At 46.7% G+C, this 22,528-nt stretch overlaps 1 long non-coding RNA gene and 2 other non-coding genes across 3 annotated transcripts; 1 reads left to right on the forward strand and 2 right to left on the reverse strand.

The window, feature by feature from the left end:
* Window positions 1-9,065: 9,065 nt before the first annotated feature.
* On the reverse strand, window positions 9,066-9,230 carry RNVU1-2A (RNA, variant U1 small nuclear 2A). The gene has a single exon (NR_145576.1). It is a non-coding gene; the product is annotated as an RNA, variant U1 small nuclear 2A (small nuclear RNA).
* Window positions 9,231-9,501: 271 nt separating this feature from the next.
* LOC105379574 (uncharacterized) lies at window positions 9,502-18,069 on the forward strand. Its single transcript, XR_001737761.2, has 2 exons — window positions 9,502-9,945; window positions 17,335-18,069. It is a non-coding gene; the product is annotated as an uncharacterized LOC105379574 (long non-coding RNA).
* Window positions 17,953-18,116, reverse strand: RNVU1-28 (RNA, variant U1 small nuclear 28). The gene has a single exon (NR_189287.1). It is a non-coding gene; the product is annotated as an RNA, variant U1 small nuclear 28 (small nuclear RNA).
* Between the last annotated feature and the right edge of the window lie 4,412 nt (window positions 18,117-22,528).

Below are 22,528 nucleotides of genomic sequence, written 5' to 3' on the forward strand. Positions count from 1 at the left end.
TCTTACTTCAAGCAAAAGTGCATTAAAAACTAACTTCTCAGTTGCATCCCTGGAATCCATAGAAAGCCCGGGAGAGACAATCAAGTGCTACAGGATCAAGCGCTAAACAGGGGAGGACAAAACATGGCTTCCTAACTAGGAGTCAGGGCAAAGTTATCTGCTTTGGTCTCCAATGGAGACCGGCACTTGGTTCACCTGCGACGGGAGGACCCGGCCCAGAGGAGGCGGACTTTCTCTTCATGGTGCCTTCAGACAGGAAATCTCCTAGGATTCCTTTCTTTCCCTTTGATCTACTCCCAACGCTCCCTTTCTGTTTCTTCAAGACCTTTTTTGGATCCCCACTGCGCAGGACCTAAGGGGCTGGTGCCCTTCCCTACCCTTCCTGCCTGGGTGTCTTCAGCACCCATGCTCACCCAGAACGTTACTGCCTGCCAGAGAGAGCGAGAGGACCAAGGAGGGCGGTGGGTGCAGTGGGAACCAGAGTCACCGTGTGCCTGTGCCTCGTGGGCTCCTCGCAGATTGAATAAACGCCCCCTGAAGCTTCTCTGCAGGTCACAGGGAAGGGGAGGGTGGCTGCCGACCCGGCGGGAGAAGCGTCAAGAAGCGTCGGGAGGACCTGACCCTACCCCTGGACCTTGAAGACAGGCCTGGCCAGGCTGATTTTAATGGATAGGCCCAAGGAAAAGGCTCAAGGGCGGCCCAAACCCCGACCCTGAGATTAAGGCTTTCAAATGTCTGAACGGTTTGATGTTGGTCAGTAGAATCCATCCCACCTTTATCACGAGACTCCTTTGCCAAAATTCAGAGATCTGGGATTCCTGCTGGTTGCCGCACAGAAAGCCAATCACCGAGACGCTTATCGCCAAGGAAGGCACTTTAATAGGGTGCTGCAGTGGGGGAGATGAGAACTCAGTCTCAAATCCATCTCCCTGACCAACCAAAACCAGAGGTTTAGATGGCAGGGAAGAAATGTTAACAATGAGTAAGAAAACAGGAACTAGGGAGGAGCAAGGAAGCAATCATGATGAATGAGGGGTCCCAGCATCTCATTTTCTGGATGAATTTCAGTACTTTGATAGCTTTTTTGACAGGCCTGAAGGTCATTTCCTGAGGAAGGAACTCAGATAAAACAAATACTAAGTTTCTTTCTTTTTTTTTTTTTTTTTGAGACGGAGTCTTGCTCTGTCGCCCAGGCTGGAGTGCAGTGGCGCGATCTCGGCTCACTGCAACCTCCGCCTCCCAGGTTCATGCCATTCTCCTGCCTCAGCCTCCCGAGCAGTTGGGGCTACAGGCACCCACCACCACACCCAGCTACTTTTTTGTATTTTTAGTAGAGACGGGGCTTCACCGTGTTAGCCAGGATGGTCTCGATCTCCTGACCTCGTGATCCACCCGCCTCGGCCTCCCAAAGTGCTGGGATTACAGGCGTGAGCCACCGCACCCGGCCAACAAATATTAAGTTTCAAGCTGTAAGACCAGAAGGGTCCATTTCTAGGTTTATCCAAAAAAGCTACATATGGGACTGTGGGGTGGTTTTCAGACCAAGAAAGAAAAAGATTGTGCAGACCAAAGTCTGCAGTTAACCAAAGAAAAAACATAATTTTCTGACCAATAGGATGTATGGGATCAGAGAATGACCAGGCTATAGAAGAACCGTTTTTTGTCCTGAGCATAGGGGAAGGATGAAGTTGCACCAACTAAGGTGGAATTAAGCTGCAGATGGGGAAAAATCTGGATTTTGGTTCAGAGCCCTGGGGTCTTCCTTGAAAGAAGAACCCTGTTTCGGTTTCTGCCTCTCTCTGAGTCCTTTTGGAGGTTGAGGATGCTGAGGTCTTGGTGCTTGGCCCCCTCTAGCCCTGAGTACTTCCCCTCCGGCAGGGCAACCTGGCCCAGTGCCCAGGTCCCAGCTCCAGCGACCATTTCCCCCTACTTTGCTCCTAGCAAAGGCCTGAAGGCCTAGCGGTTCCTGCAGAACCCCTGTCTCCCTCTTTTGGATAAAGCAGAGAGGAAATGACCTGTGTGGAGGGAATCAGGGGCTGCATCTGCACGGAGGAGCTGAGGCAAGTAGGGCAGTTGCGGTCTGTCAATGTAAAGGACATTTGCCATCCAGGAGGTTGGGCTGTTATTATTAGTTTTTAAATTCGTCAATACAAACTTCAGGGAAATGTGTCTTCTTACTTGTAGGAACCTCACAAGACCTCCCATCTTATATTCCAGGGAGAATTGCTGCGTATTACACGAACACATAGGTGAGACTGCCATTCTGACCTGCAGGCCTCGATGTCCTGTGCAGGGGCACCAGGGCACTGGCAAAGCCCTTTCCATACAAAGAGCAAGCGTGTTATGTCTACAACCCAATGGCACCAGTTCCAAGTACAATTTCTACTTGGTTCTATGAGCTGAGTACATGTTCCCCCCAGCACAGAAATCCTACAAACTCCCATGAATGCTATAGGGAAAAGCAGGGGCTAGCCAGGTGTGATGGATCATACGTGTAATCCCAGCAGTTTAGAAGGCCAAGGCAGGGCAGATCACTTGAGTCCAGGAATTGGAGACCAACCTGGGCAACATGGCGAAACTTCAACTCTTAAAAAAACAAAACAACAACAACAACAACAAAACAAGAACAGAAATTAGCCGGCTGCGATGGCTCGTGCCTGTGCTACTCCAGAGGCTGAGGTGGGAGGATCGCTTGAACCAAGATCCCACCAGATACAGTGAGACTCTGTCTCAGGGAAAAATACAAACAAAAAAAAGAGGCTCTGTAAGAGGTGACTCTGGGGACAATGGAAAAACACTAAGGTTTTCAAGTGGTGTTAAAAGCCAGTAGGCCTTGGGGACCACTGAGCAATCTACAAAGCAGGGAAGCCTAGATCCCTGAGCTCTGCCCGCCAAGTACCACCACAGCTAACATGAGAGACCTCCCCCACAGAGACTGAAATTTGCCTCCTGAGGAAACAAGTGACTACAGACATCTGTCCCAGGACAGTAAACAAGAAAATAAGGTCTCACAAAAACAAAAACAGCTGACCACACCATACAATCACTGAGACCGGGCCTGCGACTATAGATGAAAAAAGCAAATGCTGTCTATTATTCATACCATGAAAGACCAGGGGAAAGCACGAACGCAGTCCCCTACTACTGTTGCGGGAATCAGGAGAACAAAGAGACCAACGGGTGGAACAGAAGGATTTTATTGAGTGCACTCGGGCCTAGCGTGAGCCCCGAAGAAAGACAGGGGGCTTGACTTTTATACACACTTCTGAAAGGGGGTTGGCTAGTTTGAATGGTGCAGCAGGAATTTGATGGTGCGAAACTCGCGGGGCAGGCAAGAGGGCTTACAGAAGCAGAAAGAAGGCAGTTAATCAAACTGTGACAGGTCTTGCAACGCAAGCACAGCTGGTAACCTTGCAGCTGCACTGAATGGAAATCAGGAACTTACAAAACTTGAATAATGACAAGTGGCAAGGGGGAAAGACAAGGCAGTAAAGACATTTGTTGTTTTTCCTCTTATACTTGCTGGGGGCGGACCGTGTTGACAAAGTCGCTGGAAATCACTGTCAGAGATGTAGCTTTTAGGATAGTATTGTCCAGGATCTGCTAGGCTCTATCCACTGCAGGCCTTGGTGGGGGGGGAGGGGGGGCCTGCGAAGCACAGGAAAACTTGTCTTTTCGTTGTAACTTCCGCTTCGTTACTACAAGTTACGCAGCTGAGCTTCCCACGTTAGAGAAAATGACAGAACAGCACACTTGAAATGAAATAGTTGAGTCGGGTTTAAAAGCCATTTCAGTAACCACAATATCTGCCCTGCCACATAAATAAGATTGCACCTATCTCCGCCCCGCCACAGCTCCATACGCCTCACCCTTTAAACGCACAGTCACTTGCCCCAGCACCACTCCAGCCAATCCCCAACCACCCCGAGCCCTCCTAGCCCTAACACACAGCTGGGACTCTCATGTCCAGCCAGTGGTCCTGGACTTGCTCCTACAGCGCGGGAAATCCTTCGTGGCGAAGCAGCAGCCCCTGCGCTGCCTCATCTACATAGAAACGCCCTATCGGTGATGTCACCGACAGTGCCTTTCCCAGTCTCCTTCTGCTCTTCCGCCCCACCCTCCGCCACTCAGCCTACCAACCCGCTGGGGGAGCCGACGGAGGAAGTGACGTCTGCTGTCCCACCTCTCCCTCCCGCCCTTGTCCTTTCCGGAGGTGCGCCCAGACCCCGCATCTAGTATCCCCCAAAGAAGCGACTACTTAACTTGTGTCCTGCGGAGGACCCTTCTGGCGGCCAGCTGGAAGCTGTGCGCCGGTCTTCAAATAGTGGCTTTTAATTCGCAGACTAGAACATTTAGGATTACAAAGAAAACCGTTTCCTTTCAAAGCTGTTTATCTTTGTGAAGTAGCATTTTGCTTAAAATTGGAAGCCTTTGACTATCAGAGAGAAATCATATCTATGAAACTAGAGAGGCTGCTCAGATGACTGCAAACCAGCCATCCTTGCTGGTTTTACCAGTAGTAGTGTTATAAAGAATGTTGTCCAATTTCATGAGTCTCGTAGGTTTGTTTTTTTGTTTTTCAAATACAGTATTGTACAAAAAGGAAGCAGAATGTGGTTGCTGTCACAATGTAATGCCTCTCTGGGCCTGAGAATTTGGAAAGGCTCACACTCCTCATAAAAGTTCTCTTCTTTCCTCATTCTCCCTTTAGATAAAAAGTCTTTTTTTTTTTTTTTTTTTTTTTTGAGACGGAGTCTCGCTCTGTCGGCGGGATCTCGGCTCACTGCAAGCTCCGCCTCCCGGGTTCACGCCATTCTCCTGCCTCAGCCTCCCGAGTAGCTGGGACTACAGGCGCCCGCCACGACGCCCGGCTAATTTTTTGTATTTTTAGTAGAGGCGGGGTTTCACTGTGTTAGCCAGGATGGTCTCGATCTCCTGACCTCATGATCCGCCCGCCTCTGCCTCCCAAAGTGCTGGGATTACAGGCGTGAGCCACCGCGCCCGGCCAGATAAAAAGTCTTTCTTGAAAGCATTGTTGATCAAAAGCTGTATCTCTCCTTGCCAGAAAGGCTCATTCCCAGATAGTCCTGTCCCACACTGGGGGCAGGGGAGGAAAGGAGCCCTCTCACTAAGGAATTTTTAACAGTGCCCAGAAGCTGAATTGGCATCACAGAATTGGGGGCGGGGGGGGAGACAGAGAGATCTCGGCCAATTCTATAGTTGCTGTCACTTGTTGAATCATCTCTAGTCTTCAGAGTACCATGAAAACAATGAGAAATACATAACATTAATAATTTGACTAGTGGAGATATAATGCACACAAGAATGATAATCACAAAGAGAATCTATATCCCGAAACAGTAAGGGAACCTATTCCATTAGGCAGCCAACTGAAAACATCAGGGAAAACATCAAATACCATTTCTTCTTTAGTGATTTATTGTAGCCAAGTGGCTTCCTTTCTAATTTTTTTTCTAGAGAAGGTTCTACTGCATGGGAAACATTTATGTATATGCAACAAAAGGTATTTGCCACCACACATACATCTCCCTGCTCAGCTAAATATATCATCTAAAGTGATGTGATTACCTAGTACAACCTTAGCCAGTGAATAAATAGCTTTTTATTGAGCTGCAAAAGAGGCCGCAGTTTCATCAGCAATGTTTTTCTTTCTTTTTTCTTTTTCTTTCAGAGACAGCGTCTGTCTCTGTGTCCCAGGCTGGAGTGCAGTGGTGCCATCATAGCTCACTGCAGCCTTCAACTCCTGGGCTTAAGTGATCCTCCTGCCTCAGCCCCCGAGTCACTGGGATTACAGGCCAGAGCCACCATGCCTGGTTTTCATCAGCAGTGTTTCCTGAGGTTACAGAAAGATTTATAATCCTAGGAAGAAACACTCCCTTGAAGCAAAAGTGCTCTCCCCGCAAAAATGCAAGGAGCTATCTTCTTGATAGCCGGGCAGATAATTCTCAGGTTTTGCCCCACTGAATCTCTATCTAAAATAGAGCAGTGGTCATGCCTAGTGAAAAGTTAGAGGGCCTAACGTTTAAATCTGTAATCCATCTTGAATTGAGTTTTGTATAAGGTGTAAGGAAGGGATCCAGTTTCAGCTTTCTTCATATGGCTAGCCAGTTTTCCCAGCACCATTTATTAAATAGGGAATCCTTTCCCCATTGCTTGTTTTTCTCAGGTTTGTGAAAGATCAGATAGTTGTAGATATGTGGCATTATTTCTGAGGGCTCTGTTCTGTTCCATTGATCTATATCTCTGTTTTGGTACCAGTACCATGCTGTTTTGGTTACTGTAGCCTTGTAGTATAGTTTGAAGTCAGGTAGTGTGATGCCTCCAGCTTTGTTCTTTTGGCTTAGGATTGACTTGGCGATGTGGGCTCTTTTTTGGTTCCATATGAACTTTAAAGTAGTTTTTTCCAATTCTGTGAAGAAAGGCATAGGCATTGGTAGCTTGGAACCAACCCAAATGTCCAACAATGATAGACTGGATTAAGAAAATGTGGCACATATACACCATGGAATACTATGCAGCCATAAAAAATGATGAGTTCATGTCCTTTGTAGGGACATGGATGAAATTGGAAACCATCATTCTCAGTAAACTATCGCAAGAACAAAAAACCAAACACCGCATATTCTCACTCATAGGTGGGAATTGAACAATGAGATCACTTGGACACAGGAAGGGGAATATCACACTCTGGGGACTGTGGTGGGGTCGGGGGAGGGGGGAGGGATAGCATTGGGAGATATACCTAATGCTAGATGACACGTTAGTGGGTGCAGCGCACCAGCATGGCACATGTATACATATGTAACTAACCTGCACAATGTGCACATGTACCCTAAAACTTAGAGTATAATAAAAAAAAAAAAAAATTAAAAAAAAAAAAAAAAAAAGAAAAGTTAGAGGGAACTCGCCCAATGTTGGGTTTCTTCAGATATATGTGTGTATATATATATATTTATATATATGTGTGTGTGTATATATGTGTATATATATATATATATCTCCAAATATCTTAAAGACACTGCCCTTCATCATTCCATGCCATTAGACATTTATAGGACCATGCATGGTGATCTCCTCCACACAAAAATAAATGCTGGTGCAGAACAGGTAAGTGTACTATAAATTGAGTACATCAGCTTTTGGGCATTTTAAACCATTGGTCACACACGTTGGAGCAAGAGGGCAGGTTGATAGCAAGAGGGAGTGTTTCTCTTTCAGTTTTCCAATAGCAAAGTGATGTTTGCCACTGTCATTTCAGAGTGAGGTGACAAATTTTTGTTGTTGTTTGGTTTTGTGGGGTTTTTTGTTCGTTTTTGAGACAAGGTCTCACTGTCCCCCAGGCTGGAGTGCAGTGGCACGATCAGGGTTACTTTTGCCTTGACCTCATGAATTCAAGCAAACCTCCTTACTAATCCTCCTGAGTAGCTGGGACTACAGGCACGTGACACCACACCCTGGGGTGTGAACTGGGATTTTATATTTTCAGTTGGCTCCCTAATGGAATAGGTTCCCTTACTATTCTGGAATACAGATTGTCTTCATGGTTGCCATTCTCGTGTGCATTATATTTCTACTAACCTGCTAATTTTTTTTTCTTTTTTCTTTTCTTTTCTTTTTTTTTTTTTTTTTTGAGACAGAGCCTCACTCTGTTGCCCAGGCTGTATTGCATGCAGTGGCAGGATCTCAGCTCACTGCAATCTCTGCCTCCTGGGTTCAAGAGATTCTCCTGCCTCAGCCTCCTGAGTAGTTTGGATTACAGCCTTGCTGACATACACCACCACGCTGGGCATTTTTTTTTTTTTTTTTTTTTTTTGGTATTTTTAGTACAGACGGGGTTTCGCAATGTTGGTCAGGCTGGTCTCGAACTCCTGACCTCAGCTGATCAGAAGTAGGTGAGGTCAGAAAACGCACCCTGGGAGAGGCTGGCAAAATGCCCAGAACGGCCATCGCTAGGCCTGGGGTTTTCTTCTGTACTGAAATACTACTATTCATGTAGTGCGGGGACAAAACCAATTAGATACTTCTGGGAGTTAAAAAGAGATGAATTTACAGTGCCATTTGAGAAGGGGTATTAAGGAATTTTCCAGGGTACTGACGCGTGTCAGGTGCAAACTGCAGGTTCGGAGAGAGCTAAGTATTTTCTGTCCATGAAGGTGATAAGGGGGGTCTTGAAGAAAGAGGAAGGGGGGAGGACACTGGCGCCAGAAATAGGAAAGGGCTGCTTGGGGGTGGGAAGGATGGGTCGGGGTGCTATCTAGAAAGCTGCCTGGCAGTGGATGTAGGATGTAGAAGCGAGACATCAAACAAGAAGCTGTCGCTTAAATAAAGTCTGAAGATAGACTAGATATGTAAACGGCAGGAGATAGTAGGGAAACTGGACCCGTCTCCTCATAAAACTTCCCGCCTTATGTTTCAGGGAGGACCGCAGCGCATTTCGGCCAAGACAGGTGAGACTGCGGTTCTGACCTACGGGCCTCGATGAATTGCGTTAGGGCACCTGGGCTCCGGGAGAGCCGTTCCACTCCACAAAGTAAGCGTGTTATGTCTGCAAACGAACGGGGACACTAAGAGCCCCAAAGGCCCTGCTTTCATCCCAAAGAACAGCCCCCGTCTGCGTAGTTTGTACCTGGCTCTGTGAGGTGAGAACACATTCCCCGCTAGCACAGAAATCCTACAAACTCCTGAGGGGGCTGCGGTTAGAAGCAGACGCTGTGTAAAAGGGGACTCTGGAAGCTAGAGAAAAACACGAAAATCTTCACAGAGCGTGAGAACCCAAGACGCTGGAGACCGTGGATCAATTTCTGCAATAAGCAGCCTTATGTTCAAAGGGAAGAGCTATGCAGTCTTCGCGCTGGTTAGCCTAGGATAAACCGGCTGACACTCCTTACTTCTCCAGCGAGAAAGACAGCGACATGCCACTTCCTATTTTGCAGGCTTCTGACTGTAACAGTAACACTTAAGGGCACCACAAAAAACACAAACCAATGAAAGAAAGCAGTAACAAGGAGCGTACGGTCTATTTTTGAAACCAGAAAAAAAGAAATCAGGGAAAAGCACGGACACAGCCCCCCACTACCACAAATTATGCAGTCGAGTTTCCCACATTTGGGGAAATCGCAGGGGTCAGCACATCCGGAGTACAATGAATAAGCCTCAGCCCTGGGAAAACCACCTTCGTGGTCACGTTATCTCCCCTGCCAAGTAAATATGAGCTCCTGCACCTCCGCCCCGTACGCCTCACCCTTTACACGCACGGTCACTTCCCCGCGCACCCGCGAGCCCTCCTAGCCCTGACACACAGCTGGGACTCTCAGGTCCGACCAGCGGTCCTGAACCCGCTCCCACGGCACGGGAACTCCTTCGTGGCGAAGCAGCATGTGGCGAAGCGCAGCCTCTGCGCTGCCTCATCTACATAGAAGTCGCCCTATCCGTGATGTCACCGACAGTGCCTTTCCCAGTCCCCGTCTGCTCTTCCACCCCAACCTCCGCCAACTCAGCCGACCAACCCGCTGCTGAGCCGGCAAAGGGAAGTGACGTCTGTCTCTCCCTTTTTTCTCTCCCGCTCCCTTGTCTGTTCTCTCCCAAAGAAGCTGGTCCTTAGCTTCTATTGCGGAGCAACCTTTCGGCGACCAGCTGGAGCCTGGGCACCCTTCTTCAAATAATGGCCTTTAATTCGCAGACGAGAACGTTTAGGATGACAAAAGAAACTTTTTTTTCACGTCCTTACCCTTGTGATGAAGCATTCCGCTTACATATATATATGTAATGTTGGGTTTCTTCAGATATATATATATATATGTATATGTGTATAAATATCCAAATATCCTAAAAGACACGGCCCTTCATGATTCCATGCCATTAGACATTTATAGGACCATGCATGGTGATCTCCTCCACACAAAAATAAATGCTGGTGCAGAACAGGTAAGTGAAATTGAGTACATCAGCTTTTGGGCATTTTAAACCATGGGTCAGAAATGTTAGGGCAAGAAGGCAGGTTGACAGCAAGAGGGAGTGTTTTTCTTTCAATTTTCCAATAGCAAAGTGTTGTTTGCCGCTGTCAGTTCAGAGTGAGGAGACAATTTGTTGTTGTTGTCTGGTTTTGTGGGGGTTTTTGTTTGTTTTTTAGTTTGTTTTTGAGACAAGGTCTCACTGTCCCCCAGGCTGGAGTGCAGTGGCACGATCAGGGTTACTTCTGCCTTGACCTCATGAATTCAAGCAAACTTCCTTACCAATCCTCCCGAGTAGCTGGGACTACAGGCATGTGACACCACACCCTGGGGTGTGAACTGCGATTTTATATTTTCAGTTGGCTCCCTAATGGAATAGGTTCCCTTACTATTCTGGAATACAGATTGTCTTCATGATTATCATTCTCGTGTGCATTATATTTCTACTACCCTGCTAATTTTTTTCTTTTTGAGACAGAGTCCCGCTCTGTCACCCAGGCTGTATTGCAGTGGCAGGATCTCAGCTCACTGTAGCCTCCACTTCCCGGGTTCAAACGATTCTTTTGCTTCAGCCTCCTGAGTAGCCACCTGGCTAATTTTTGTGTTTTTAGTAGAGACAGGGTTTCACCAGGTTGGCAGGCTGGTCTCGAACTCCTGACCTCAAGGGATCGACCCGCTTCAGCCTCCCAAAGTGCTGGGATTACAGGCATGAGCTACCACGCCTGGCTCTCAAACCATTTTAAGTAAGCAAAGGCAGATTTGTCTGGCTTTTTAGTACATTGCTGAATTATCCTCCAATCTATATTTTTAGGAAGGACCTGGGGAATGGCAACATGCACATATTTGGCTAAAATGTGAACCTTTCATGTTCTGCTTGAAAATCCTTCCAATTTGCCTTTTGCAACCAGTTAGTGGCCTTGCCTTCTTCACCAGAATGTGAATTAATTGATAAAGGCCAGAATATTTGGGCTCAAAGGTTTCGACAGTTAAGTCGAATTTTCTGCCAAAGCCTATAGGATCTTGGAGCCTGCTTTAGAAACAGAAGAACGAAATGTGTTTAACTTTAGATCAGGGAAGTCCTTTATTTTTTTTTATTTATTTTTATTTATTTATTTTTTTTGAGATGAAGTGTTGCTCTGTTGCCCAGGCTGGAGTGCAGTCGCGCGATCTCGGCTCTCTGCAAGCTCCGCCTCCCGGGTTAACGCCATTCTCCTGCCTCAGCCTCCTGAGTAGCTGGGACTACAGGCGCCCGCCACCACGCCCCGCTAATTTTTTGTATTTCTAGTAGAGATGGGGTTTCACCGTGTTAGCCAGGATGGTCTCCATCCCCTGATCTTGTGATCCGCCCGCCTCCGCCTCCCAAAGTGCTAGGATTACAGGCGTGAGCCACCGCGCCCGGCTATAATATTCTTAATTCACATTTTGGTGAAGCGGTGTACACAATGGTAGGCTCCCCTCTTCCTGTGGGTTTGGGTTTTACCTTGAAAGGGGCTGTCAGAACAGAAGTTTCAGGGAAGGGGCCAGAGCCCTGGGGACTTTCCTCAGGTGATGGTGATGGAAGAAGAGGCAAGGCAGGACAGGAAGGCTCAGGTAAGAAAGACTATGCAGGTGCAGGGGCAGGAGGAGAAGGAGCAGTTGGAGGCGAAAGAGACAAAGCCTCCTCAATATTTCTCAATTCAGAAAACGTGTCAGTTTACCTCCTTAAGCTTACTTCCTCAATGGAGGCAATTTTCTTAGTTCTTTTTTTTTTTTTTTTTTTTTTTTTTGAGATGGAGTCTGGCTCTATTGGCAGGCGGGAGTGCAGTGGTGTGCTCTCGGCTCACTGCAACCTCCGCCTCCCGGATTCAAGCAATTTTCCTGCCTCAGGCTCCCGAGAGCTGGGACTACAGGAGCCCGCCATCAAGCCCGGCTAATTTTTTGTATTTTTAGTTGAGACGGGGTTTCACCATGTTGGCCAGGATGATCGCCATCTCTTGACCTCATGATCCGCCCGCCTCGGTCTCCCAAAGTGCTGGGATTACAGGCCTGAGCCACCGCGCCCGGCGCAATTTTCTCAGTTCTTTTAGAAATTTTAGAAATTTAGAAATTTGGAAATTTCTAGGTCTCATTGCAAGTAAGTCTCCCATTTAATTTGTCTTGTTCTAAAACCAAATTTCTCTCTCTCTCTCTTTTTTTTTTTTCCTTCAGACAGAGTCTCACTCTGTCGCCCAGGCTGGAGTGCAGTGGCGCGGTCTTGGCTCACTACAACCTCTGCCTCCCAGGTTCAAGCAATTCTTCTGCCTCAGCCTCCTGAGTAGCTGGGATTACAGGAGCCCGCCACCATGCCCGGCTAATTTTTGTATTTTTAGTAGAGACAGGGTTTCACCATGTTGGCCAGGCTGATCTCGAACTCCTGACCTCTGGCTCCCAAAGCGCTGGGATTACAGGCGTGAGCCACCGTGCCCAGCGTAACCAAGATTATTGAGCCATTCTAATTTGTCAAAAGAGTCACATTGATTTTAAAAAAAATAACGTAATGGGCCAGGTACGGTGGCTCACGCCTGTAATCCCAGCACTTTGGGAAGCCGTAGGGGGCGGATCACGAGGTCAGGAGTTCGAGACCAGCCTGAGCAACATGGTGAAACCCCGTGTCTACTAAAAATACAAAAATTAACCGGGCGTGGTGGTGTGTGCCTGTAATCCCAGCTACTGAGGAGGCTGAGGCTGGAGAATTGCTTGAACCCAGGAGGCGGAGGTTGCAGTGAGCCAAGATTGCACCACTGCACTCCAGACTAGGTGACAGAGTGAGACTCCGTTTCAAAATGAATACATAAATAAGCAAATAATAATGTAATGAACGTTTTCATCGTTTACATATTAAATAGATGAAGGGGTGGCCTGCCCCTCCATACTTGTGGGCGTTTCTCATCGGGTGGAAGGAGAGACTTGAGAAAAGAGAGAGACACAGAGACAAAGTATAGAGAAAGAAAAGTGAGCCCAGGGAACCGGCGCTCAGCATACGGAGGACCCGCGCCGGCACCAGTCTCTGAGTTCCCTTAGTATTTATTGATCATTATCGGGTGTTTCTCGGAGAGGGGGATGTGGCAGGACAATAGGGTAATAGTGGAGAGAGGGTCAGGAGGAAAACATGTGAACAAATGTCTCTGCATCATAAACAAGCTAAAGAAAAAAGTGCTGTGCTTTTGATGTGCATATACAGAAACATCTCAATGCCTGAAAGAGCAGTATTGCTGCCCACATGTCCCACCTCCAGCCCTAAGGGGGTTTTCTCCTATCTCAATAGATGGAATATACAATCGGGTTTTACACCGAGACATTCCATTGCCCAGGGATGAGCAGGAGACAGATGCCTTCCTCTTTTACTAATCCTCCTCAGCACAGACACTTTACGGGTGTCGGGCTGGGAGACGGTCAGGTATTTCCCTTCCGGCGAGGCCATATTTCAGACTATCACATGGGGAGAAACCTTGGACAATACCTGGCTTTCCTTGGCAGAGGTCCCTGTGGCCTTCTGCAGTGTATTATGTCTCTGGGTACTTGAGATTAGGGAGTGGTGATGACTCTTAACAAGCATGCTGCCTTCAAGCATCTGTTTAACAAAGCACATCCTGCACAGCCCTTAATTCATTTAACTTTGAGTGGACACAGCACTTGTTTCAGGGAGCACACGGTTGGGGGTAGGGTTACAGATTAACAGCATCTCAAGGCAGAATTTTTCTTAGTACAGAACAAAATGGAGTCTCTTATGTCTCCTTCTTTCTACATAGACACAGTGACAGTCTGATCTCTCTTTCTTTTCCCCACAATACTTACACTATTTAAATTGTTCAAAAGCATCAAAGATTCCTCTCTGCTGTCAACTTCATTCCATTTATTTTATTGTACCAAACTATCAAGACCATTAATTTAATCTACTGCTAAATCTATTATTTTTTTCATGTTAGAAATTCAACCAGAAAATTTCTCCCTAATGAAACCTCACATTTCAAGCATAAGTAGGCTGGGTGAGGTGGCTCACACCTGTAATCCCAGCACTTTGGGAGGCCAAGACAGGTGCATCACTTGGGGTCAGGAGCTTGAGACCAGCCTGACAAACATGGTGAAACCCCGTCTCTACTAAAAATATAAAAATTAGCTGTGTGTGGTGGCATGCGCCTGTAATCCCAGCTACTCTGGAGGCTGAGGCAGGGAAATAGCTTCAACCTGGGAGGCAGAGCTTGCAGTGAGCTGAGATTGCACCACTTCAGTCTAGCCTGGGCTACAGAGCAAGACTCTGTCTCAAAAACAAATAAATAAGCATAAGTAGTAAAAAAAAAAAAAAAAAAAAAAGATAAAAAATAAGGCGCAGGGTCTTGCTCTGTTATCCAGGCTTGAGTGCAGCGGGGCTATCATAGCTGACCAGCTTGGAACTTCTGGGCTCAGGCAATCCTCCTGGCTCAACTTGCCTTGTATTTTTTTAGAGATGGGGTCTTGCCCTGTTGCCCAGGCTGGTCTCCAACTGCTGGCCTAAAGCAATCCTTCTGCCTCAGCCTGTTGAGTTGCTGGGAGTACAGGTGCAAGACATGCAGCCTAGCATTGTAGTAAAACAATTTTCAACAAATTCTTAATTTTCTTTCTTTTTCTTTTTCTTTTCTTTCTTTCTTTTTTTTTTTTTTGAGTTGGGAGTCTCACTCTGTCACTCAGGCTGGAGGGCAGTGGCGCAATCATAGTTCACTGCAGCCTGCCTCAGTCTCCCAAGTAGCTGAGATTACAGTCATGCATTATCATGCCTGGCCAACTTTAAAAAATTAGCTAATACTTAAAAATTTGTAGAGACAGGGGTTTCACTATATTGCCAGGCTGGTATCCAACTCCTAACCTCAATTGATCCTCCCTCCTCAGCCTCCTAAAGTGCTGGGATTGCAGATATGAGCCACCATACCTGGCTTAATTTTCTTATTTTAATTTTATATAAGTGATTATTATTGTTCCTAAGATAATTGGGGCAGTGACTCCTTTAAAATTTTAGAGACCTAATTTGTCTATTCACTTCACTGAAAGAGTATGCCAGTTTGCTTCATGAGAAAATATCCTATATTAATAAAGCAAGAAAATTCCTTCCACCAAACTAGGGGGCATTCTAAAGAAACGAATTGTGCTAAGTAACATCACTTAAGGTGAAAACAGAGGCAATGGTATCTATTAACAATGTTTATCAGTGAAGGAAATAAACTGAAAATGTTAACATCATTAAATCCTCAGAGGGCCTTCGTTGCTGAAAATCTGAGTAATATTGTGATACCCTTTTGAGTCCGGCAGGACATTCTCTTTCCAGGGCATATGACAGTGGGCGAATAATTTCTTTTCATTCATTTTCATTAAGGGCTGAACTTCCTTAATGTTCTGGAGATTATTAAATTTGATTTGTATAGTTGTGAAAAGTGCTCATATTGCTGATTCCATTGCTTACATATGATCATATAAGTCTTTTCTCTCCTTTCTGTAGTGTGGTTTAAACTTAATCCTTAAAGGACATGTATTTGAATTTTTCAGCTGGTTAGAAACCTGAATATACCAATCAAAGAAAACTGCTCCTTACATGCTACAGATTTAGTGTTCTTCCTGTGCTAAGATGTCTTTTAGATATAGTAAATTTGTTAAAGCCAAGAGCTCCTATGGAACAAAGTTGGGTGGGAGGGGGACATTGAGTAGTAAGATCACTCTTGTAATAGAGATGCCACTCTTGCAGATATTGACAACTATTGGGCCTGTAAAATTTTTAACAAACATTGGAAAGACAAGATATGAACAACTCATCATTGCTGCAGTCTCAAATATCAGGAAATACCATTATTCTCAGGACAATAAATAGACAATAAAAAAGACTCACAGAGCAGCTTAGCTGTCATGTATTACCAAACAGGGACTGGATCCTTGTCAACACCACCCAACAGAGATTGTCCCCAGAAATTCACTTCATAACATCAAAACCAAAAACCCACACTGATGGCACAATATAATGATGCAAAAATGAGAGAGAGAGAGAGACAGAGAGAGAGAGAGAGAGAGAGGGAGAGAGAGAGAGACCTGTCCTACAGCCATACTTAGTGGGTAAAAGCCAAAGAGCTCAATTTCTGCTCATGATACTTAATAGAACAGAGGGAACATGAGCCAATAGCTCAATGGGTTCAGATCTGCACCAAGTGCCTGTTGGATGCAGAATTCTACTGTCTCCAATAATATGTCTCAGATGGACTAGTTTTTTTGTTTTTTGTTTGTTTTGTTTTTGTTTTTTATTTTTTGTTTTTGAGAGAGAGTCTCCCTCTGTCGCCCAGGCTGGGGTGCAACGGCACGATCTCGGCTCACGGCAACCTCCGCCTCCCGGGTTCAAGCGATTCTCCTGCCTCAGCCTCCCAAGTAGTTGGGACTACAGACGCACACCACCACGTCTGGCTATTTTTTTGTTTTGTTTTGTTTTGTTTTGTATTTTTAACAGAGACAGAGTTTCGCCATGTTGGTCAGGCTGGTCTCGAACTCCTGACCTCAGTTGATCAGAAGTAGGTGAGGTCAGAAAACATACCCTGGGAGAGGCTGGCACAATGCCCAGATCCGCCATCGCTAGGCCTGGGGTTTTCTTCTGTAGTATTCATGTAGTGCAGGGACAAAACCAATTAGATACTTCTGGGAGTTAAAAAGAGATTAATTTGCCGGGCGCGGTGGCTCACGCCTGTAACCCCAGCACTTTGGGAGGGTTCACGAGGTCAGGAGATCGAGACCATCCTGGCTAACGCGGTGAAACCCCGTCTCTACTAAAAATACAAAAAATTAGCCGGGCGTGGTGGCCGGCGCCTGTAGTCCCAGCTACTGGTAGGAGGCTGAGGCAGGAGAATGGCGTGAACCCGGGAGACTGAGCTTGCAGAGAGTCGAGATCGTGCCACTGCACTCCAGCCTGAGCGACAGAGCGAGACTCCGTCAAAAAAAAAAAAAAAAAAAAAAAAAAAAAAAAAGATGAATTTACAGTGTCATTTGAGAAGGGGTATTAAGGAATTTGCCAGGGTACTGACGCGTGTCAGGTGCAAACTGCAGGTTGAGAGAGAGCTAAGTATTTTCTGTCCATGAAGGTGATAAGCGAGGGCCTGAAGAAAGAGGAAGGGGGGAGGACACTGGCGCCAGAAATAGGAAAGGGCTGCTTGGGGGTGGGAAGGATGGGTCGGGGTGCTATCTAGAAAGCTGCCTGGCAATGGCTGTGGGATGCGGAAGCGAGACATCAAACAAGAAGCTGTCGCTTAAATAAAGTCTGAAGAAAGACTAGATATGTAAACGGCAGGAGATAGTAGGGAAACTGGACCCGTCTCCTCATAAAACTTCCCGCCTTATATTTCAGGGAGGATCGCAGCGCATTTCGGCCAAGACAGGTGAGACTGCGGTTTTGACCTGCGGGCCTCGATGAATTGCGTTAGGACACCTGGGCTCCGGGAGAGCCGTTCCACTCCGCAAAGTAAGCGTGTTATGTCTACAACCCAACGGGGACGCGCTAAGAGCCCTAAAGGCCCTGCTTTCATCCCAAAGAACAGCCCCCGCCTGCATAGTTTGTACCCGGCTCTATGAGGTGAGAACACATTCCCCGCTAGCACAGAAATCCTACAGACTCCTGAGGGGGCTGCAGCTAGAAGCAGAGGCTGTGTGAAATGTGACTGGGGGCTAGGGAAAAACACGTAGATTTTCACAGACCCTGAGAACCCAAGAGACTGCAGACCATGGGCAGACAAATCTCTGCAAAAAGCAGCCCCGCCTAGATAAAGGAAGAGCTGTGCGGCCTTCGCGCTAGCTAGCTTGTGTAAAGGTCGACGATTCTTATTTCTCCCGGGGCGGGGAGAAAGCGACATATTACTACTATTTCTCAGCCTTCGACTGTGAGAGTAACGATTAAGACTAAAACACAAGCCAGTAAAAAAAACAAGTAACCCTTGCTGTGTAGACTATTCTTTAAACTACAAAAAATCAGGGGAAAGCGCGAACGCAGTCCCCCACTACCACAAATTATGCAGTCGAGTTTCCCACATTTGGGGAAATCGCAGGGGTCAGCACATCCGGAGTGCAATGGATAAGCCTCGCCCTGGGAAAACCACATTCGTGATCATGGTATCTCCCCTGCCAGGTAAGTATGAGCTCTTGCACCTCCGCCCCGCCACAGCCTCACACGCTTCACCCTTTACACGCACGGTCACTTGCCCCGCGCAGCCCCACCCCCCCCAGCCCTCCTAGCCCTGACACACAGCTGGGACTCTCAGGTCCGACCAGCGGTCCTGAATCCGCTCCCACGGCACGGGAAATCCTTCGTGGCGAAGCAGCAGGTGGGGAAGCAGCAGCCCCTGCGCTGCCTCATCTACATAGAAGTCGCCCTATCCGTGATGTCACCGACAGTGCCTTTCCCAGTCCCCGTCTGCCTTTCTGCCGCTCAGCCTACCAACCCGCTGCCGGAGCCGGCAGGGGGAAGTGACGTCTGTCTCTCCCTTTTTTCCCTCCCGCCCCGGCATCTGTTCTCGCCCGAAGAAGCTGGTCCTTAGCCTGCGCTGCGGAGCAACCTTTCAGTGGCCAGCTGGAGCCTGGGCACCGTTCTTCAAATAATGGCTTTTAATTCTCAGACGAGAACGTTTAGGATTACAAAAGAAACCGGTTCTCTTCACATCCTTATCCTTGTCATGTAGCATTCCGCTTGAAATTGGAAGCCGTTCAATGTCAGAGAGAAACCATATTTATGAAATGAAAGAGGCTTCTCAGATGACTGCAAACCAGCCTTCCTTACTGGTTTTATCACTGGTAATGTTATAAAGACAGTTGTCCAGTTTCATGAATCTTGTAGGTTTTTGTTTGTTTATTTGTTTGCTTTTGATGTTGTTGTTGTTGCTGTTGTTTTCCAAATTCAGTATTGTAGAAAAATATGCTGCCCCAGAAGAGATGATTGGACACTCTCCAGCGTGGTGTTGGACTTTGTCATCTCTTGCACAGCCATCTCCAGACCTTAGTGTTTACCTCACGTTAGTTTTTTATATTCTGCAAAGACAAAACCAAAATAATCCAAATTTGACACAAATACCTGGGATACATCTTATTTGAGATGTTTAACAAATGTCTGGATCATCTTTTCTTACATTGGATTATAACGCAGGAAACACTGTGAAGTAAGTAAAGTTGGAATTCCCAAGTCAAAGACCATTTGAATATTTACAAGTAGATTTGAGGCAGGAATAATACAGGGTGGCCGCAGGGTAACAAATTCTAGGCAGCAGATTTACATGACTTGAGGCTATGGGCTGATAAGACGCTGAAAAACCAGGGTGTGGACCAAGCTGGCTAAGACTGACTGGACCCAATGTGGTGCTAGATTTGAGGTAGGTTTTACCTAGGCCCTCATTATACACTTATTAACATACTAAATCACACACCCACCAGTGCCATGACAGTTCTGAGACCAATATGTGATGTAAAAATGGATGGCACCACAGTTCCGAGAAATCACCTTTACCCAGGAATTTTCACGAATATTCCACTCCTTGGTTAAAGAAACCCATTGAGATGAAACCCCAGAACCCATTGTTCTCTCTCGGGTATGCCCGAACTCCCCTTTCTTGAGTGTGTACTTTCTGCTTTGCAATACATCTCTTCTTTCACTATTTGCTGACTCATCCTTGACTTGGTTCTCGAGATGGTGTCAAGAGCCTGGACACCACAGCTGGGGTCGAGATCCCACCAGTGTCCGGGGACCTCCCCCAGCCCACCAGTATCAGATTCTATTCCATTGCTCAAATCACAAAACATTGAATGGAGAGGTCTCCTCTGGAGAGCATAAAGTAAAGATTCTGTGGCATGGTGGCCAGTTAGGCCACTGGAAGGCATGGCAAAATATTGAAAATGAGGGATTAGGTGACGGTATAGTAACTGCTGAATACTAAATACTTGATTCAGACCCCATTCCCTGGAGACTGACAGAGAGACACATCGTCCAGGTAGTAGTGGAGAAATACTTTCTGGGTATCTGACCAGCCTTCGTGGAAAGAACTGGCACCATCCTGCAGGTGCAACTGCCTGATGGGTTCTTCCTGCCCATTGTACATACAAAATCAATTCATGGAGACCATGGCATTGCAGTAAAGAGTTTAATTGACACAGGCCAGCCACGACATGTGGGGGACGGAGTTATTACTCAAAACGATCTCACTGAAGGCTTGGAGGTAAGGGTTTTTTCAAAGACAGTTTGGTGGGGAGGGGGCTAGGGCTTGGGCGGTGCTGATTGTTGGGGATGAAATCACAGGGGTGTGGAAAATGCCCTCCTGCATTGAGTCAGCTTCTGGGTGGGAGCTAAGGGACTGGTTGATTTGCGGGCCAAATGGTGACATCCAGTAGTCAGAAATGCAAAAGCCTGAAAAGGCATCTCAAGAGGCCAGTCTTAGGTTCTGCAATAGTGATGTTCTTCACAGCAGTAATTGGGGAAGCTGCAAATCTTGTGACCTCTGGAATAATGGCTGGTAATTATTTAACGAGGCATACATCTTAGTAGAATTCAGGTCCCTTTCATCCTCCTAACTTGGTGGCCTTTCATTAGTTTTACAGGGGTAATTTAGTTTTGGGGAAGGTTATCATTTAAACCCACCTTTCTGGCTGTCCCCAATGTTTTTGGCACCAGGGACTGGTTTCATGGAAGACAATTTTTCCATGGAAGGGGGTTTCCGGATGAAACTGTTCCACCTCAGGTCATCAGGCATTAGTTACAGTCTCATAAGGAGTGTGCAATCTGGATCCCTCACATGCGCAGTTCCCAACAGGGTCCAAGCTCCGACGAGAATCTAATGCCGATGCTGATCTGACAAGAGTCGGAGCTCAGGTGGTAATGCTCCAAAGCCTACAGCTCACCTCCTGCCGTTTGGCTGGGTTCCTAACAGGCCATGGACCAGTACCTGTCTTGTGGCCCTGGGGGTTGGGGACCCCTGATTTAAACTATAAACTCAACTTTTCCCAAAGATAGCTTGGGAGAAATTGCACAGGAATGAGCAAAGACAGCTAGCCTGTGAGGCTAGAACCAAAATGGAGTCAGCCATGTCAGATTTCTCTGATTGTCATAATTTTGCAAAAGTAGTTTCAGAGGGACTACCCTGACACCTGTTAAAAGCATGAGGCGGATTTTATTGTATGTACTGCAGTAGGCAAGAGAGACCAGCAGAGAACCGAGCTCAACTCCAAATACAGCAAGAAGGGTTGAAGATTTATAGCCAATCGGCAAGGTAAGAAAGTCAGTGGATGGAAAATTACTAAGAGGAACTTGATTAGCTATCAAAGGTGGTTGGTAGGACTCTTGCTAAACTAGGCTCGACGGTATTCTTTTCTAAAACTGGACTTGACAGGCCAAGAACTAATAGAGAAAAGGGCTCAGAGGAAACTGACTAAGGTTTGGTCAAAGATGGAGTCCTTGTCAACTCTACATTGAAGCTTCTGCAAATAAACGAAGACCAACCAAATGAAAAAAAGCAAAGGCTATTTATTCTGAGCTTGCTATGGCAGGGAGTCAGCCACTGTTACTTGTGTTTTGGCAGAGACTTGAAGGCAGTCAGAAGGGTGGAAAAGCTTTTTAAAAGGAAAGGCTTCAGGTATGCTTGGACTGGAGGCTGTCAGCATGGTGAAGCTATAGATAGACGAAAAAATCAAAATATTTTACCCCAGAATATATTTCTTTGGCATATTTTAAGATGGCTGTCAGAGAGCCAGCAAACAGAAGTAACTCTGCAAAACTGTCTTTTGTAGGGGAAATTTACACCTGCAGAGAATCTGCATTAATCCAGCCTTCCCTTGTCAGGATTGAGAAATAAAAATAAGCCCTAGGCCCTACAACCAACTGAACGGACTCCCCTCTTGGCTGACAGGACCACAGAGAAACCTTGAAAGCTGTTTCTGGCTGTGACAGGATAGGAGGTCGGACATGCCCCCCTTAAAACCCCTCCCTCGCTAACCGCCATTATGAGGCAGGAGAACAGCAGAGGGAGTTGGAAGTTGGATAAAAGGCAGAATGAGTAAAAGCAGAAACAGAAGCAAGGTGATGGGGTGGGAGAGCAAGAAGCAAGATAAAAGGCAGCAGTTGAGCGGCCAAAACAAAAAGTAAGATTAAAAAAAGCAAGCAAGGCCGGGCGCAGCCCCTCACCCCTGTAATTCCAGCAGTTTGGGAGGCCAAGGCAGGTGGATCGCCCGAGGTCAGGAGTTCGAGACCAGCCTGACCAATGTAGTGAAACCCCTTCTCTACTAAAAATACAAAAAAATAGCTGGGCATGGTGGTACACTCCTGTACTCCCAGCTACTCAGGAGGCTGAGACAGGAGAATTGCTTGAACCCAGGAGGCAGAGGTTGCAGTGAGCCAAGATCGTGCCACTGCACTCCAGACTGGGCAACAGAGCGAGACCCTGTCTTAAAAAAAAAAAAAAAGCAAGTAAGGACCCCATGGCCAGCAAGATCCAAACCAGGAAAGGGGCAGCTCTTCAGAGACAGGCATGTGCATTAGAGAGAAAAAGTATCCTTAACATGACTTCATATGA

This window comes from Homo sapiens, chromosome 1 (genome assembly GCF_000001405.40).
Source record: "Homo sapiens chromosome 1, GRCh38.p14 Primary Assembly".
Taxonomy (NCBI): domain Eukaryota; kingdom Metazoa; phylum Chordata; class Mammalia; order Primates; family Hominidae; genus Homo; species Homo sapiens.